The sequence below is a fragment of the Homo sapiens genome, chromosome 20, assembly GCF_000001405.40.
Source record: "Homo sapiens chromosome 20, GRCh38.p14 Primary Assembly".
Lineage (NCBI taxonomy): Eukaryota > Metazoa > Chordata > Mammalia > Primates > Hominidae > Homo > Homo sapiens.
Window position 1 is genome coordinate 38,519,872 of NC_000020.11, and position 19,378 is coordinate 38,539,249.

Sequence of the window (19,378 nt, forward strand, 5' to 3'; positions counted from 1 at the left end):
CTTCTTTGAACTGGTTAGCTTTTGATTTACATGACAGTACACTGTGCTTTGTAAAAGTAACATTGAGCTGGGAAGGGTTAATGAACTAAAATTTTAATGCACGTTATGGGCACTTCAAAACCTCAGTTCTTTGTAGTTGTGTAATTTTCTTCGTTCATTGTTTTGCATGATACAAAAATCATAATTTTGGACCTGAATGCACAATTTCCTATGTTTTTGAACTAGCTTGTGGTATCGTAAAGCTTTTAATTTAACTTTTAAAAAGCTAAAAAGCTTCTTAATTTATTGTAAAATTTCACCATCTTTAAAGTATTTTATAATTACTACTGTCCTTTGATTTGTTTCCATTTATTTCTATTATCTTGCAGCATCTTTTATCCAAATTCTTCTTTCTTATAAATCTTGTAAGTAGGAACCAGAAGCTTCTCCTTAATTGCAGTCATGTTTTTATTTTTTTCATAATTCCATTAAAAATTTGATTGTCATTGTCTCTTGTAGTTTTTGCACTTGGGAAGAAAAATACTTTTCTGTGTTTTGAATGGGGAAGATTGTTGGCAAGAGCAAATTAATCTGCCTGAATCAGTCCCATTATTTCTGTATACTAGTCTGGTCATGTCATGAATTCCAGGACTTTGCACTAACTGTGTTTTGGCTTTTTTTTTTTTTTTTTTTTTTAAAGCTTTAAGCTTATTTTTATACAGATTTAGTGTTTGATTTGTATGCATTCTGCATGTAGTGTTTTTCAAATGTATTATTGCTGGATAGCTTATTTAGGACTAAAAATGGCTCATGGGAAGTTGCATAAAGATTTATGCTTGACTCTGTATTCTATTAAATCTATTATAAAATAATTTAAGCATTTCATGTAGAGTAATAAAAGATTTCAGAGTGATTTTCAATACACTGTGAAATCTTTTGTTAAAAATAAAAGCAACTTTCAAAGGGCTTCTGTTTCAGTGATAACAAATGACCATGATAATCTTTTTTATCAATCCAATTTTCTGATTTATCAGCCTCAAGTTAGCTGCTGTCTGTGGTTGTTAAAATTCATTCTCATTTTGCTTGGTTGAGCGATTCTTTGGTGTGTGTTTTGGAGTTGGGTGGGTGGTGGGAATGCTCTCTTTTTCTCCCTGCCCACTTCTCATCCTTACTTTGCCCTCTCCCTAAAGTATACAGACTGGCATAGGGTTGCCCATTTAATTAGGATGTCCATCTGGGGTAATGTGTAAATTGCAGTAGCTATTTTTCTTAACGTTTAAGCATCATTCTGTAGGGGGAAGAAAAAACAGAAAAGAAATAATAGAAAAGCCAAATTCTGTATTATATATCTGTATGTGGATACAGATATATACAAATGTACTCTGCTGATCAAAAATTCAGTTGAAAAATGCTTCTTGTACCATCTGTTAAACTGACAATGCCACTGTAAATTAATTGTAACCTATTTTCAAAGAAGATTTCAGAGAGCCCTTTTTAAAAATATTAAGACATAGTTGCTAAACAAAAGCACTTATTGGATTCAAGTAGCTATTTAATGACACCAATATTTGATCTTTGTGTCCAGGGTCCCATGAGCCTACGTGGCATATTGCAAATATAATAAAACCCTCCTTTTCTCTCCCCAGCCATTACAACACAAGCTAGCATGGAGTTTCGACGGAAAGGGTCACAAATGTCCACAGACACCATGGTTTCCAATCCTATGTTTGATGCAAGTGAATTTCCTGATAACTATGAAGCAGGAAGAGCTGAGGCTTGTGGGACACTGTGTAGGATTTTTTGTAGCAAGAAGACTGGAGAAGAGATTCTGCCAGCTTATTTATCCAGGTCTTGGAATTTTTGTTTGTTTTTTCATTTATATAGTTTTGATAGTGAAGCCATTGTTGGTTGGCCGACTGAACCGATGAGTGATGTTGGTCTGAAATACCTACAGATGTCTGTAAGTGATCGACATTTGCCTGAAATCTTTCATTTTACCTGTCTCATCAGATTTGGTAAAGACCCTTAAGACCCTTTTTGTTTTAGAAGTGCTATTTATGTCATCTTATTTGAATCTTTTTAATATGGAGAGATTTCGAAGGACCACAATTATTTGTTAACAAATTTTTAGCACAGTATTCCCATGTAGGCAGTCCAGAAATAAGTCAGCTGTAAATCCTGCCTCCAAGGAGCTTATTTTCTGGGCAAAGCCCCAAACAAAGCCGTGTACACATGTAACAATGATCCAGCAGGAATTAGGATATTGATGGGAGAGGCACAGATAATGTGCTGTGGGCATTCAGGGGAAGAAGCAGCGCACATTTATTTACTGTAGGGGATTCAGGAAAGAGTTTTGGGGGATTAAATGATTATGCTGGACTTATAAAGGATGAGTAGCATTTAGCCTATGTTAGAAAGTTGGTTAGGGTCATCTTCTCCAAATCTATGGCTTCAGCCATCTTTGTTAATGCCTCTGCCATCCATTCAGTTGCTCAGGCCAGAAACGAAGAGTCATTTTAGAATCCTCTTCTTCTGTATCTTTAGTTGATCAACCGATCAACCAACTCTTGCCTTCCTGCTACTTAACTCTCTTTCTGATCTCTCTTTTCACTCTATCCCCACCATTATACTTTAGACTTTGTCACTTTTCTCCTAAATTAACTCATAATGGCCTCCCGTTCTTCTTGACACTGTTTTGCCTTCCTTAACTGATCATTCACACAAGTGCAGAAGTGAGGTTAATATCAACAGAGTATTTAGATATCTGCATACTTGCTAGGTTCTCAGGAGATAGAATTAAACTGACCCTATCAGAGGGAACCAAGTACAGAATTTTATAGATATGAAAAAGAATGGTATATACAGGCAAATAGGCAGGGTTATCATAACTATCGGCGCTTGGTTTAAGCAACAGAAACCCTCTCAATCTGACTTAAGTAAAAGGAGAAGAAGTTGTGAGAAGCTAGTGATATTTATTAAATTCTAAGGTCAGGAAATGCAGTATGGCCTCATGAAGAGCAGATACTCAAGGACCAAAACAACTTTATTCCTCTCTCTTTCTCTGTCTTCCTGGTCTGCCAGAACTGCTTCATTCTTCTCTTCTCTGCAGATCATTTTCTCTTATTGTAGTGTGCTTCTGAGTTCCCAGTTTTCATTAGCCGGGCATGATGGCATTTGCCTGTAGTCCCAGCTACTCGGGAAGCTGAGGCAGAAGAATCGCTTCAACCCAGGAGGCGGAGGTTGCAGTGAGCCGAGATTGTGCCACTGCACTCCAGCCTGGGCGACAGAGTGAGACTCCGTCTCAAAAAAAAAAAAAAGTTCCCAGTTTTCATGGCCTTGGTCTAGGTGACCATCAGGACCAATTAGTATCTCTGAATTTTAATTATAGACTCCTGGGAAGGAGGATCTAATTAATCTGCCTGTCTCTGGTCTAGTCAGCTACAGTTGTGAAGGTGGGTCACATAAGGGTGTTGGAGCTCACCCACTTGTTGTGGGGGCATGTTTCTCAGGAACTCTGGGCTGGGGAGATATCCTAAATGGTACTTTGGTAGTAGGGGAGAAGGCTATCACCATGAACTTTCTGACTGAGCCATAAGACTGAATGGGTGGTAGTAGGACAAACCAAAACAACAGATTCATGAGAGGGCAAGTTATTAGTTTAGTTTTGAATCGATTGAATTTGAAGTGCCTATGGGATATTTATCAACAAATATTTATTAAGTCCTACTTTGTGCCAGATATTGTGCACAGAAGTACCATAATAATCACTAGACATCCAGATATCCAGTAAGCTTTTGGGTAATAGATCTGGAGTTCAGTTGAGAGGTGTGGGTTAGAATGATTTGATTATATTTAGTGACTTAAGAAGTGTTTAAAATCAGGTTAGTAAAAGAGAGAGCTTTGAGAACTAAGGTTGTCAGACTGAGGAACACCATCTTTAGGGGGCAGGTAGAGTAAGAGGACCTGTAAAAGAAAATGGTCATAGAAATCAGGGAAGAGCAAGGAGAGAAGGGAGTAGTTAGAGGGCTGAATGCTTTCAAAAGGCAGAATGAGTTAAGACTTAGTCATGTCTCTTGGATTTGGCAATCGAGAGCCCATTGGTTATTTGCTAGTATGGTTTTAGTTGAGTTCTAGGGAGAGAGATAGATTGAAATGGGTTGAGCAGTAACCAGTAGGTGATGAAGTTGTTTCTGAAGAGTTTTGCAGAGAAGAGAAACTCACCTCACAATAGAAGAGTATAACAGTGCAGCTGCTGTTGAATAACGGGAGATTGAATGCTTAGTAAGTTGATTAGAGGTTGGGGGTGGAGTTAAAAACTAAGCTATATTCAGGTATATTCCTAAAAGGAATCTTATTCAGGTGACCTTCATGATGAATACAGATGATCGAATGCAGGTTTCTTTCTTTCATTGTCCCCCCAAAAATAATGGGGAAGGGACAAAAATGTAAACACACCTTTTTCCCTAGGAATTACTAAATGTTGCAACATTTTTCTCTTACGGAATTTAACTCAGCAGTTCCCCCAGTTTATTGAAAAGTACTGCAGCCTGTTGTTTTGTTTTGTTCTGGTTGCCTTATTTGCAGGCCCCTAGAACTTTGAGTTGCAAGGCTTAAGGTTTGAGAAGGTGCAACAGACATGAATTTTTTTTTTTCTTCATTAAGAAAGATGATTTGGGTCTTAGTGTATATGATTCAGAATTGTTCTAATTCCAGTAATATCCTTTAAAGGGTAAAATTCCAGTAATTCCAGTAATAACTTTTAAAGGGTAAAATTCTAATAAATTCCAGTAATTCCAATAATGTCCTTTCTTTAAAGGGTAAAAATAGTGATGAGTGGAAATAGACTTTCAGTTAACTATGTAGCAAATAATAATTATGAAAACTTTTGATCAGCAGTTTGTTTAAAATTTTTTTCTTGCTTTCCTAGATTTTACATGCTTTTAATTCAAGGTTTGCAGATAAATGATTATGTGTGCCATCCTGTCTTGGCCAGCGTTATTCTAAACTCTCCTCCTTTGTTCTGCTGTGACTTGAAAGGGATTGATGTTGTGGTTCCTTACTTTATTTCAGCTCTTGAAACCATTTTGCCTGACAGGTAAGCTATCATTCTCTGCTATTATATCAACTGTCTGATTTGGCCTGGTCTGTTGGTGCTTCCTCCCCAGTTTCCTAATGTATCCTGTCCAGTTGTCTTCATAGTCCAAGAGAACTCAGGCGACATTAAATGAGTGTAGTGTGTCCAAACCCACCTCATCCCTGAAATCCTTCAGTTCTCATTTGTCTGTGGGCTTGTTGAATCGTTTTTGGCCTGGTCTAGAAGGGTAAGAACAACTCCAACACAGAGGTCTTACCTTTGTAGAGTAGGCCTTACGTTTTAGGTAAAGAAATCAATCAATCAACTTCTAGTTTAATTCAGTAACAGTTTAACTTAGAAATATACAATATACAAATACACAATGCTTGGATTTGGAAAAATTGGCATTATATGTATTTGGCAGTAGCTAAAAATGTGCTTTAGTTCAAAAATACTAATAGCTTTTTATTTTTTGGCAGAGAACTCTCAAAATTCAAAAGCTATGTAAATCCAACAGAATTGCGAAGATCCTCCATTAATATCCTGCTTTCTTTGTTGCCCCTCCCTCATCATTTTGGCACAGTCAAATCTGAGGTAATGTTTTGTTAAAGTTTTTTTATATCCTATATTCTGTTTTTTGTACTAATTTAAGTCAAATCGAATGTTAAAAATGAAACAGGAGCTTTTTTTATTTTTCAATTCAAGTTATTTCATCAAGTTATTTCAAGTGAATTAACAAAGTTGACTTGTGATTTTTTTTTTTTGTTCTGTCAGTTTTTCTACCAGTTTTCAAGCAGTTATAGGCTAAGGACATCTATTAACATATTGTTAGTGACAGATTCAGCACAGTGGCTAATATTAGACTGAAAGCCTTTCTCATTATACTGATCCGTTCCTCCATCTAGCTGTTCCCACATGGGCATCATAAGCTGCAACAGCTGATGTTAAATATTATTTGTTTTTTCCATAGGTGGTCCTGGAAGGAAAGTTTAGTAACGATGACAGCTCTTCTTATGATAAACCAATAACTTTTCTGTCCCTGAAGTTGAGACTTGTGAATATATTAATAGGTGCCTTGCAAACTGAAACGGACCCCAACAACACCCAAATGATATTAGGTTTGTATTCACACGTTATTTTGTAAGTGAAACCAAAGTACTGTTGACTACAGGCCTGCTGAGGAGGCGGCAGTCGGTAATGGGAGCCTAAACCTAATGTAGCTCTACTTACTCTGAATCAGAGGCACAAGTTAGTTTTTTAATGTAAAAAAATTTAAAGCAGTGAGATGAGGGAAGTAAAGTGTTACAGTTGTCTTGGTTGGTCATTTATTTGTGCTTTTGCTTTTCTTTCTCTTCTCCCTTCTCTCCTTTCTCCACTCTTTGCCTCTCCTTCCCATCCCTCTCTTCTTTCCTCCTTTCTTCCTGCTCTCCTTCCTCCTGCCTCTTTCTCTTCCTCCCGCCTCGTCCTCTTCCTCCTGCCTCTTCCTCTTCTTCTTGCCTCTTCCTCTTACTCCTGCCCATTACTTACAGGTCTCATCAGTCTGCACTTTCGTCCTAGTCCTTTTTTTCTCAAACACATCAGCTAATGATTTCTTCAGAACCTTACTTTATATCCCTCCTGCTGGGGTGTTCTTTCCCTAGATTTTTGTTTAGCTTTTCTTCATCATCTTCTTAAGAGAGAGCTTCCCTAACAATACTTGCTAAAGATTATCTTATTTCATCATTTTTTTCACAACACAAAACCTGAAATTATCTTGTTTGCTTAAATGCTTAAACTCCCCGCTTTTTACATGTTTTTCAAAATATATCATAAGGTATTTGGTGATTGACAAATCTAGTGTTAGCACTAAGGGACAGTCTTATCTCCCTGAAAATCTTCAGAGAGACCCTGATGAACAGAGGAGCTCTTCTTTTCTTCCTCTAATCTGATGTTCAAATTGGGTAAACAGCAATGTATTACATTTGAAAGCAAAGGGTTTTCAGTTGTTGCTTCTGTGTCTCAGTGCCACTAAAGTGCAATCCTGGGTATTGAGATCACCACCCTTGACAGTGGAAGCTCTTAGGAAAGTAGGGCTTTCCTCAGCCACCTAACAGGAGTCCCCACTGAACCATGTGAATGCAAATACCATCCCAGCCCACAAACCTGGGTGGCAGTTAGAACTCCCCGCTTATGGAGCAATTGATCTCTGAGGATGACTTGACCTTGGCAGTGGTTAGAGGCTTTCTTTCTTCTCTTCATTAGCAAGACTAGAATTCAGCTTCTTCCTAGCATCTTAGATTTTTATCTGTTCAAAAGTGGGATCAGACATTCCCTTTAAGCCCTTATGCCCCCAGAGGAGGTGGGGTGTATGTCCTTCCAACAGGAACACAATCCTTGAAATGGTTTCTAAAAGGCCTCTAAAACTGAGGGACAGATCCTGAAGAGATGGGTCACAACGGCCAAGAACCATATTTATCCAGAGACACCTAATTAGTAGGTGACTGGAGTTGTCTGTAGCTGGGCAAAAAGTTTTTTAGGGTTTCGTAAGTCTCAAAAGCCATTAATTGTGGACATGATTTTCTAGACTCACAAATGGAGTTTTTTGCTCTTTACATTCTCAGTTATGATGTATAGCTATATTCTTGTTCAGGCTGGGCTTTTAGAGACCTTCTGAAGTTAATGTGGTCAGTCTGACCAAGGTTTGGAACCAGAGTCTACCAGTGGCATTGATAATATCTCAGATACATTCTGAACACAGAGGGTGGTTTATGTGGAGGGGGATGTTTTGATATGTGAGAACCTCCAAGTTACAATGTTTTAGGTTATTTAAATAACATAATTTTGCTTGAAATTATATAATTTCTACGATTGAAGCAGTATTTGGTTTTGTTACACCCTTGCTCTGAGGCACTCCCTATGTACTTTCCAAGGAAGAGTCAGTTGTTACTCTTGCCATAAAGTGGCAAAGCTCTTTCCATCTTCTCTTTATCCATAGTGGGCAAGAGTACCTCCCACGGGGATGAGAAGCAGTGTGTTAGGCTCACCATCTCATTTCTGTCCTAGCCTTTCCAGGACAATGGTTTCCTTGATAATAAATAAATGAAGCTTACTTCAGGGTATGCAGATGTCAACAAGCCCCAGACTGTGTGGCTTTAATCATTCTTAAAAAGCAGTGTGGTCAGAAAGCTATTGCTGTGACTTTATTTTGTAATTTTTGTTTTATTTATTTGTTTCTTTTTCCCTGTAGAAAAAACAGACAGTAATGTTTGTTTTATTTTTAAGACTAGAACCTAGTTTTGAAAGTATTCCATAATATTTTCCTTAGTTTATATTACCCTTGAAATTGAGATGCTTACATCTGGTCTTTTACACCAGTTAAAAAATATCTGATAATGAGCATGTTTTTATATAAAGCAAGTTTGACCTTCACATTCATTTTATTTTTATTTATTTATTTATTTATTTATTTATTTATTTATTTATTTAAATACAAGTTCTTGCTCTGTTGCCCAGGCTGGAGCGCAGTGGTGCAATCATGGGTCACTGCAGCCCAAGCTCCTGGACTCAAGTGATTCTTCTGCCGCAACCTCTGAAGTAGCTGGGACCACAGGCGTGTGCCACCACACCTGGCTAATTTTTTGTTGTTGTTAGAATAGGGTCTTGCTCTGTTGCCCAGGCTGGTCTCGGACTTCTGGGCTTCTCCAGTCCTCCCTCCTTAGCCTCCCAAAATGCTGGGATTACAGGTGTGAGCCACTGTGCCTGGCCCACATTTATTTTAGGGAATTTTTTTTTTTTGAGATGGAGTCTCGCTGTGTCACCCAGGCTAGAGGGCAGTGGCATGATCTTGGCTTATTGCAACCTCTGCCTCCTGGGTTCAAGCAATTCTTCCACCTCACCCTCCTGAGTACCTGGGATTACTGGCACCCGCCACCACGCCCAGCTAATTTTTGTATTTTTTAGTAGACACAGGATTTTACCATGTTGGCCAAGCTGGTCTTGAACTCCTGATAGCAAATGATCTACCTGCCTTACCCTTCCAAAGTGCTGGGATTATAGGCATGAACCAATGCACCTGGCCAGAATTAAGGAATTTTTAAAGAGTCTCTTCTGACCAATCAGTGGATTTATTAGTAGAGTTGACCCTTGAACAACATGGGTGTTAGTGATGCCAATTCCCTGAGTAGTTGAGATCCACATATAACTTTTTGATTCCCTAAAAACTTAACTACTGATAGCCTACTGTTGACCAGAAACCTTACCCATACCAGTTGATTAACACATATTTTGTATTTTATGCATATTATTAATATATACTGCATTTTTACAATAAAGTATGCTGGAGAAAAGAATATTTTATTAAGAAATACATGTTGTAATCCCAGCATTTTGGGAAGCTGAGGTGGGTGACTCACGAGACCACCCTGGCCAGCATGGTGAAACCCTGTATCTACTAAAAATACAAAAATTAGCAGGGTGTGATGGCACATGCCTGTAGTCTCAGCTACTTGGGAGGCTGAGATAGGAGAATGTTTGAACACGGGAGGCGGAGGTTGCAGTGAGCCAAGATCATGCCATTGCACTGCAGCCTGGGCAATAAGAGCGAAACTCCGTCTCAAAAAAAAAAAATAAAATAAAAATAAAAATAAAGCTTGGGCGTGGTGGCTCATGCCTGTAATCCCAGAACTTTGGGAGGCCGAGGTGGGTGGATCACGAGGTGAGGAGTTCAAGACCAGCCTGGCCAAGATGGTGAAACCCCGTCTCTACTCAAAATACAAAAAAGAAAAAAAAAATTAGCCAGGCGTGGTGGCAGGCGCCTGTAATTCCAGCTACTCGGAGGCCGAGGCAGAGAATTGCTTGAACCCGGGAGGTGGAGGTTGCAGTGAGCCAAGATCACGCTACTGGACTCCAGCCTGGGTGACGGAGTGAGGCTCCATCTCAAAAAAAAGAAAATCATAAGGAAGAGAAAATACATTTACAGTACTGTATTTATTGATACCATAAATTGTCTGTTTATAAGATAAATCGTCTCAACTGTTGGGCAGTTGTAGCTGTAGACCCCAATCTACAGTACATATCAAGCAACTCAGCTTTTTCTTGTAATGTCATGACTTTTCTCTGCTTCTTGGGAGCACTTCCAGCATCACTAGTGGCACTTCCTATGGGTCCCATGGCGTTAGTCAAGGTTCATGGTGTTGCAGTAAACATGATGAAAACATGTGAGAACCATGGTATGCAATTTACTGCAGTGTTCAGTCTGTTAGAGAGATGAACTACTCACATGGAGATGGTTAGCATCACATTGTATTTTAAGCAGCATACTCATTAACACTTGAGCTCACCCCAGTAACAACAGGAGGAGGCTACAAAATGATTACAGTAGTGCAGTATGTACTACAGCTAATTTTATACAGTTATTTAATACTACATCTTTGTTTACATTTCTCTGGACTGCAAATGGCATCATGTATGGTCTGTAAGTGTTTGTGTACGTAAGTTTTTTGATAAATTTTAGCTTTTTATTTTTTATTTATTTTTAGAGACAGGGTCTTGCTTTGTTGCCCACTCTGGTCTCAAACTCCTAGGACTTCAAGCAATCCTGCTGACTCGGCCTCCCAAAGTGCTAGAATTACAGGCATGAGCTAGTATGCCCGGCCAATTTTAACTTTTTATACTTTTTTAAATATTTCTTTTCTTTCTCTTTTTTTTTTTTTGAGATGAAGTCTCGCTCTGTTGTCCAGGCTGGAGAGCAGTGGTGCAATTTCGGCTCACTGCAACCTCCACCTCCCAGGTTCAAGCAATTCCCCTGCCTCAGCCTCCTGAGTAGCTGAGATTACAGGCGCACACCACCATACCCGGCTAATTTTTGTATTTTTAGTAGAGATGGGGTTTCACCATGTTGACCAGGCTAGTCTCGAACTCTTGACCTCCCGCCCCACTTCGGCCACCCAAAGTGCTGGGATTATAGGCATGAACCACTGTGCCTGGCCATTTTTTTTTTTTTTTAATATTTCTAGGCTATGCAGTTTGGGAGTTTTTTCAAATTGTCACAGATCTCCAAAAAACTTTCTAACATGTTTATTGAAAAAAACCTGCATATGTACAGTTCAAGCTCTTGTTTAAGAGCCAACTATAATTTCATGGGTATTTCAGGAATGCTCAACCAAAATTATATTCTTATCTGTACTATTAATCATATAAAATGTCTTACGCATTTTAGTGTTCTTGTGTATTTTATATAAAATACTGTTTTATTGTTGTTGTAGGGGCAATGTTAAATATTGTTCAAGATTCAGCACTTTTGGAAGCCATTGGTTGCCAGATGGAGATGGTAAGAAGCATACATGCAATCTGTCAGAGAATATCACTTTTGAATTTCATGTAAATTATATTCCAGAATGTCCATCTTTGTGAATTTTAAAGGCCTTTGGTTTGTAAATCCTGCTCATTGGCTCAGAAGTTTTCTTTTTAAAAATAATGTATATTTTGAGGTTTGCTTTTCAGTGCCTCTTCAGCTGTACATCAGGTTCCCGAGATATTCTGTATGAGAGAAACTACAGCTAAATCCAGTCTTTATTCCTGAACAGTGTCTGCTTAAAACTGTTACTTGTTTTGCTGTGGTGGCAAACTTGGTTGAATAACCTAGGAAAAGCCCTAGCCAGCAAGCAACTAGTTTAACTTTTTCTTACCCATCAATTCTTTCTAACCCCTCTAGACCTAAGTTTGCAGGTCCCTCAAAGCACCAATGCTTCCAAATCAAAAATGCTTCTCAGAGACTTCCAGTGCTCTCTGCTTTGTCTTCAAGATATATCATCCCTATACTTGGAGTATAGGCAAGACAATGGAGGGGTTAATAGGGTATACTGGGGTAAGTTGGGTAGATGTAGTAAGCTGAGTAGATGTAAGATGGGTGATCAAATTATTATTACGGAAATTACATTCGTGTCTCAGTAGATGGTGAATAATAATTTACTGATCTGAATATAATGAACTGTGTTTATATGGGGAAAAATGAGGGAAGTCTAACAGATAGGTTTATTAGCCCCTATACATACGGGAGTTAAAACTAACCCTAGTATTGTTTGTGTTTTCTGATATAACTGTATTTGAAAGTTGCCGTTTGTTTATTCATGCCTTTTTGTTTTTTGTTTTGTTTTGTTTTGCTTTGGTTTTGAGACAGAGTCTCGCTCTGACTCCCAGGCTTGAGTGCAGTGGCGCAATCTCTGCTCGCTGCAAACTCCGCCTCCCAGGTTCCTGCCATTCTTCTGCCTCAGCCTCCCGAGTAGCTGGGACTACAGGCGCCTGCCACTGCGCCCGGCTAATTTTTTTGTATTTTTTAATAGAGATGGGGTTTCACTGTGTTAGCCAGGATGGTCTCGATCTCCTGACCTCGTGATCCGCCTGCCTCGGCCTCCCAAAGTGCCGGGATTACAGGTGTGAGCCAGCGCGCCTGGCCTTATTCATGCTTTTTAAGCTTATATTTCTGTTCTGAGGTTTTGCTTGGGAGGCACTAGGGTATTCTTTTTAAGGACCTGGAATCTAGTGAAGTCTAGTAAAGATGAAAAAGCTGGGCCAGCCCTTTGTAAATAGTGGCAAAGAAGACCCCAGTATGGGCACTTGTAGTAGTACAAATCCTTCATACCCTCCAGTAGATTTGTGTGTGTAAAAATACCACAGTGGTTTTAATCCCTTGTCAATTTCTGTTACTATCAGTTTGTACTATTCAGTTGGCACATTCTGCTTTATCAACATGGTTTTTAATGATTGACCTTTATTTATGCTTGTAAACTGTGATGTAATCCTCACTTGATTCATTTTCATTTGACTAGGGTGGTGGAGAAAATAACCTGAAGAGTCATAGTCGCACCAATAGTGGTATTAGTTCAGCAAGTGGTGGAAGCACGGAGCCCACGACTCCCGATAGTGAGAGACCTGCTCAAGCTCTCTTAAGAGATTATGGTTAGTCGTGTTTCTTTTGAAATTCAAAGTTTAATAGAATGACTTTAATGCTTACATTTATAAAACAAAAACATTAAAAATGTTAATGTTCATGTTTTTTATATACTTAAGTATAATAGAGAGGATGTCAGTCTTAAGAAGCTAAGAAAAAACAAATCTTTTTGATTTAGCTGTATAGCTTTTGGGTAGTATATTAGATTTGGGGTAGTATATTAGGTTTTATAATTGATAGTAATGGGTGATCAGTAAACATTTCTGAATTCTCTACCATGTGTGGTGGTAGAGAACCAAATAAGATGTGGACTCTGCCTCAGAGCTCACAGTGTAGTGGCAGAGATGTCCAATAAGCCAGTTATTGCAGTGTGGCAAGGAGGGTAATGGGGGATGGATTAGATAGCAGCCCAGAGGAGAGCATGTCTTCATGTTAAAACCTGTGTACCCCCTACTGTAGCTCACTAGATTCTTTAGCCCTGAAACATTTTTATTTTCTGCCCTGCCAAGTAAAACATTTGCCAGCCAAGCATCCTATACAAGGTTGTCCCCTACCTTGGGCAGTTGTTTTATGGATTCTGTGAGTTTGTGGGTACCTTTATGTTTTTCTACACAAGTACTAACAGTGTATTAAATCTGTGAGCACTTATCCAGCTAGATTGGAGTGATATCTAGATTCTTAGATGTGAGTTTAATCCTTTAATCATCTGGAGAGTTCATGAGCCATGTTCATGAGGTTCATGAGGCATGTCATGAGCCATGTTCATGAGTTCATGAATTCATGAGGCATGTTTCTATGGTTTAAGTTTGCAACAAGTATCCTTGAACATGTCAGATATACATAAAGCCATTATGTGGATATTTGACACATTTAAATATTATATTCGTGAAGAAGTTATTTAAATTATCTTATTCACTGTGTATGTAGATTTAGGTATTCTATAGGTTGAAAATTATTTTTCATGCTTTCTGAAACACATTTAAGCTAAATAAATTTTTCAGTACTGGCTGGGCGCAGTGGCTCACTCCTGTAATCCCAGCACTTTGGGAGGCCAAGGTGGGCGGATCACCTGAGGTCAGGAGTTCGAGACCAGCCTGGCCAACGTGGTGAAACCCCATCTCTACTAAAAATACAAAAATTAGCTGGGGGTGGGGGTGGGTGCCTGTAATCCCAGTTACTCTGGAGGCCAAGGTAGGAGACTCTCTTGAACCTGGGAGGCAGAGGTTGCAGTGAGCCAAGATTGCGCCACTGTACTCCAGCCTGGGCAACAGAGCGAGACTCCATCTCAAAAAAAAAAAAAAAAAACAGAAAACAAAAACAAAAAAAGAAATTTTTCATTACTGCATGTGTTCTAATATAAATGTTTTAAGTGATTATTGTTTGTTTCAGCATTTTGAGCTGGTGTTAGTGAGCTCTGCTTGTAATGTCGTAAAATATTTTTTACTAAGAAATCCTGATTTGTGTTAGTGTCGCATGAGTGTCTCTCTTTAATGATCATTCCTTTTTCTGTTGTCACTGCCCTCTTTCTGATAGGATCGACAGGTATAATGTCCCTAAAGCTTCCTTTATAAATTCAGTTTAATTTGTCTTTATTTAATTTTTCCTAATTTCCTATTAGCTAACTAGTGATTGCTTTTACATATAGATTGGAGCCCAAATAAAAATATGGTGGCTTGGTTATTTAATTTTTTTAGAAGTATTAAAGTAATCCTGGAGAATTAAATGTTAAAGTATGTTTGAAAAGGCATTGCATGTGAGTTTTGATGGCTTAAACCCTGTAAGTAATTTCAACAGATGCTTGCTTCAGAGTAATTCCTAGCATCTGAGGAGGCCGTAAAATTAGAACTTTCCTCTGTAAAGTTTCAAGGAAATAATTGATAGCCTTTTCATCACTCTTTTTGAAAATGTAGCTATGAGTTGATAATTTAGAAACTTTAAATTACGTTGTTATGAAAATGACACTGAAACTGCCAAATCCCACGGTTGTGTCAAAGTGCGTGAACCAGGAACTAGAAGCTGCTCTGGTCTAGCACATGTGCCTGTGCACCGTGTAGTCAGGCTTGGCACTCAACCCAGTGGGGTGGGGAGCGTAGCACTGTGTGGGTGCCCGTCGTTCTCACTGTGGCTGCTGTGGTCTGTGCCTAGTGGATGCTGTGCTTCTCGTTACTAATGCTTAGTTGTTTTCCCTCCCTGTGGGATGTGGCATTGGGGTTATATCCTAGCTCTTAATACAGATTCAGCTGCTGGGCTCCTGATTCGCAGCATTCATCTCGTCACCCAAAGACTCAACTCCCAGTGGCGCCAAGACATGAGCATATCACTGGCAGCTCTAGAGCTCCTCTCTGGCCTTGCAAAGGTGAGGAAGACAGTCCTTTTATTTTAACCCAACAGCCTTGGGCCTTGGCTGTTTTTTCTGTATCTCTTAACCCCTTGTGTGGGTATTTTAGTGTTGATCATGCTCAAACATAGTTTATATTATATCCAAAGTGTACAAAATTTAGCCTCCAAGTGATATTCTATGCAATGAACTTTACTTTTTAAAAATAGGTTCAAAGAGTATGAATGAGATTTTTACCGTTAAATTATAGGAAACATTTCAATACTTGCCATTTATTTATTTGCATATAATACTAGAATGCATATTGATTTTGTAAAAAATGATTATCCTAATGTATGCCATTTGGGATTACCTGTGGCTCTGCCATCCTCCATTATCAGAGATAAGTGAAAACTGGCTACACCTTTTTTTTTTTTTTTTTGAGACGGAGTCTTGCTCTGTCGCCCAGTCTGTAGCGTAGTCGTGCAAACTTGTTGCACTGCAGCCTCCGCTTCCAAGCAATCCCCCTGCCTCAGCCTCCAACTAGCTGGGATTACAGGCATACGCCATCACAGCCAGCTAATTTTTGTGTTTTTAGTAGAGATGGGGTTTCACCATGTTGGCCAGGCTGATCTCGAACTTCTGACCTCAGGTGATCCACCCGCCTTGGCCTCCCAAAGTGCTAGGATTCCAGGTGTGAGCTACTGCACCTGGCCTTGGCTACACTTTTTAGATTTCTTTCCCAGCCGTTACTTCAGTTTTTTGGAAACTTAGAACTTGGTGGTCATTTGTGCTTCTCTAAGTGTATTCTTTTGAGATGAAATTTGTGTAATATAAAATTAGCCATTTAAAAGCAAACAATTCAGTGACTGTTGGTACATTCACAATGTTGAGCAACTTCTACTTCTAGTTCCAAAATGTTTTTATCATCCCTAAAGGAAACCCCATACCCATGAAGCAGTTTTGCTTCAGTCTCCGCACCCCCTCCTCTGACAACCACCATTTCATCTCAATGGGTCTACCTATACTGGACATTTCATATAAATGGAATCATACAATGTGTGACCTTTTGTGTCTGGTTTCTTTCACTAAATGTAATGTTTTTGAGTTTCATTTATGTTGTAGAATGTGTCAGAACTGTATTCCCTTTTATGATTGGATAATATTTCATTGTGTGTATATACCCCAGTTTACCCATTTATCACTTGATGGACATTTGGGTTGTTTTAATCTCTAGGCTGTTGTCAGTAGTGCTGCTGTGAACATGTATGTACATGTATTTGTTTGAATACCAGTTTTCAGTTCTTCGGGTGTACACTAGGAGCAGAATTACTGGGTCATATGGTAACCCTATGTTTAACTTTTTGAGGAACTGCCAAACTGTTTTTCACAGTGACTGAATCATTTTACATTCCCAGTGTATGAGAGTTTCACTTTCTTTGCATTTTCTCTAACATCTAGGTGTTTTCTTGACAGTAAGATGAGCAGGATTATCTTACATATAATATATAATTGAGGAAATACGTAAAATATTTTGTGAACAAAGAGCCGATAACCAGGTGCTACTGTCTGGGATGATATGGTTCAAATCCTTATTTTTCAGTTATGGGAATAGTTGTCAGAGGCTGTGACTTACCTAAGCTGTAAGAAACAAAATAAGCAATAAAACCTAAGGTGTTCTTACCACCACTTAGAGCTTACCTCAAAGATCCTCCAGGATGGACATCATAACTTTGCGAGAAGCAGTTACTGGTACAGAAAATAAAAAACAGCCATTTGTGAGACATACAGGACCACACTGTCTTTGAGAGCAAGGTACTGTTTCCTGTGACCTTTAGTACACTCAGTAGTAAGCAATAATTAGTCCTAAATGGAGCACTGCTCTGGACCTGCCTAACAATTCATAAAGGGCTAACACTACCTGATTTGATGATTTACTGTAAGGCTACAGTAACACAACAGCCTGGTATTGGCATAGGGGTGGACAAATTGATCGGTGGAAGAAAATAGTATATCCATACTTAAGTGGTCATCTGATTTTTGACAAAGGTGCAAAGGTAATTCAAAGGAGAAAGGGTGGTCTTTTCAACCAGAGGTACTATAAAACAATTGGATAGTCATACACACAAAAAAAAGCCAAAAAATTTTGATTCATACCTTGCACTATGAACAAAAATTAACTCAAACTGGCTGGGCATGGTGACTCATGCCTATAATCCCAGCACTTTGGGAGGCTGAGGCAGGAAGAGACCAGTCTGGGCAACATAGTGAGACTTTGTCTCTATTACATAAAAATATATATATAAAACCTAAACAATAAAACTTCTAGAAGAAAACAAGAGAAAATCTTTGTGACCTTGGGATAGATTTCTTAGGTGTTACGCTAGAAGAACAAACTGATATGTTGGACTTCAAAATTTAAAACTGCTGTTCTTTAGTAAACACTGTTAAAAGAATGAGATGACAGATCACAGGCTGGGAGGAAATGTTTATAAAGCATATATTTGATGAAAGATTTGTATTCAGATTACATAAAGAACTCTCAGGACTCAATAATAGCCTTTCCTTTTGGTGGTGCACAGCAGCAATATGGTGGTGAAAATTTCTAAGAAGAGGAAGTTTGATAGCATCTTCAGAAATAAACTGAGCGAATTCTTCACTCAGAAGCTTGCAGAAGGTGACTACTCTGGAGCTGAGGTCCAAGTTATGCCAACCAGGATAGAAATCACTACCTTAGCCTCCAGGATGCAGAGTGTTCTTGGTGAAAAGAACCACCGGATCTATGAATTGGCTGAGATAGTTCAGAAGAGGTTTGGCTTCCTTGAGGGCAGGGAAAGCTTTATGCTGAAAAGGTGGCCTAAAATAATTCTCTATGCCATTGCCCAGACAGAGTCTGTGCTGTAAACTACTATTAGGGTTTGCTGTGAGGAGAGCCTTCTGTAGTGTGCTGTGGTTCATTATGGAGAGTGGGGCAAGAGCTACGAGGTCATGGTGTCAGCGAAACTCTAAGGACAGAGAACTGAATTCATGAACTTTTGTGTGTGATCTGATGATCCACAGCAGAGACCTTGTTAACTACTGCATTGATACTGCCATCCACCATGTGCTGCTAAGACAGGGTGTGCTGGGCATCAAAGTGAAGCTCATGCGTCCTGGGCCCAAGTGGTAAGATTGGCCTTAAGAATCCCCTGCCTGACCACGTGAGCACTGTAGACCCTAAAGATGAGATACTATTCGCCATGCCCATCTCAGGACAGATGGTTAGGAAGCCATGCTCTACCCAGCCCCAACTGTGTAATAGGGTCTCCTTGGCAGCTGGATCTGGAGTCTGGATGTTGCCTTGTAAAGACCTTTAATAAAATCTTTTAAGACAACAAAACACAACAACAAAAGCCCTTAATAATACAACAAACAACCCAATTAAAAATTGGGCAAAAGATTTGAATAGATGTTTTATCAGAGATGATATACAGATGACAAATAAGCACATGAAAAAAATACTCAATATCATTAATTATTAGGGAAATTCAATTAAAACCATGATGAGATACCACTGCAAATCTATTAGAATGGCTGAAATATAAAAGACTGGTCATACCAAATGTTGGTGAGGATGTGGAGGAACTATTGACGAGAATGTTAAATGGAGCCACCATTTTGGAAAACAGCTTGGCTGTTCCTTAAAAAGGTAAGCATACACCTACATATGACCCAATAATTCCACTCCTAGGAGATAAGAGAACATTTATCGATATAAATACCTTGTACATGAATGTTTATAGCAGCTGTATTTATAATATCCAGAAGCTGGAAACAACCCAATGTCCATTAATAAGTAACTAGATAAATTGTGGTATATCCATGCAGTGGACTACTATTCAGCAATAGAAATGAATGAACAATTGATACACCCAAAAGTGTAGCTAAGTCTGAAAATAACTATGCTGAGTGAAAGAAACCAGACCAAAAAAAGTACATATTGTATGATCTTTATATGACTTTATTTATTTAAACTCTAGAAAATGCAAGCTAATCTATCGTGACAGCAGATCAGCAGTTGCTTAGGGAGAGGGGCAAAGAG

The 19,378-nt window shown here is 38.9% G+C and overlaps 1 protein-coding gene and 1 pseudogene across 13 annotated transcripts in view; both read left to right on the plus strand.

The window, feature by feature from the left end:
• The window catches only part of RALGAPB (Ral GTPase activating protein non-catalytic subunit beta), a 106,016-nt gene that overhangs the window by 47,029 nt on the left and 39,609 nt on the right, over positions 1-19,378 (plus strand). For 4 of the 13 annotated variants that reach the window (XM_005260462.4, XM_047440314.1, XM_047440316.1 and 1 more), the window contains exons 9-16: positions 369-404; positions 1,626-1,827; positions 4,907-5,074; positions 5,533-5,647; positions 6,024-6,171; positions 11,296-11,360; positions 12,859-12,988; positions 15,203-15,336. In XM_005260462.4, coding sequence (XP_005260519.1) covers positions 369-404; positions 1,626-1,827; positions 4,907-5,074; positions 5,533-5,647; positions 6,024-6,171; positions 11,296-11,360; positions 12,859-12,988; positions 15,203-15,336 — 998 coding nt within the window. The other 9 variants (NM_020336.4, NM_001282917.2, XM_005260465.4 and 6 more) reach the window with 4 other exon arrangements.
• On the plus strand, positions 17,879-18,588 carry RPS3P2 (ribosomal protein S3 pseudogene 2; annotated as a pseudogene).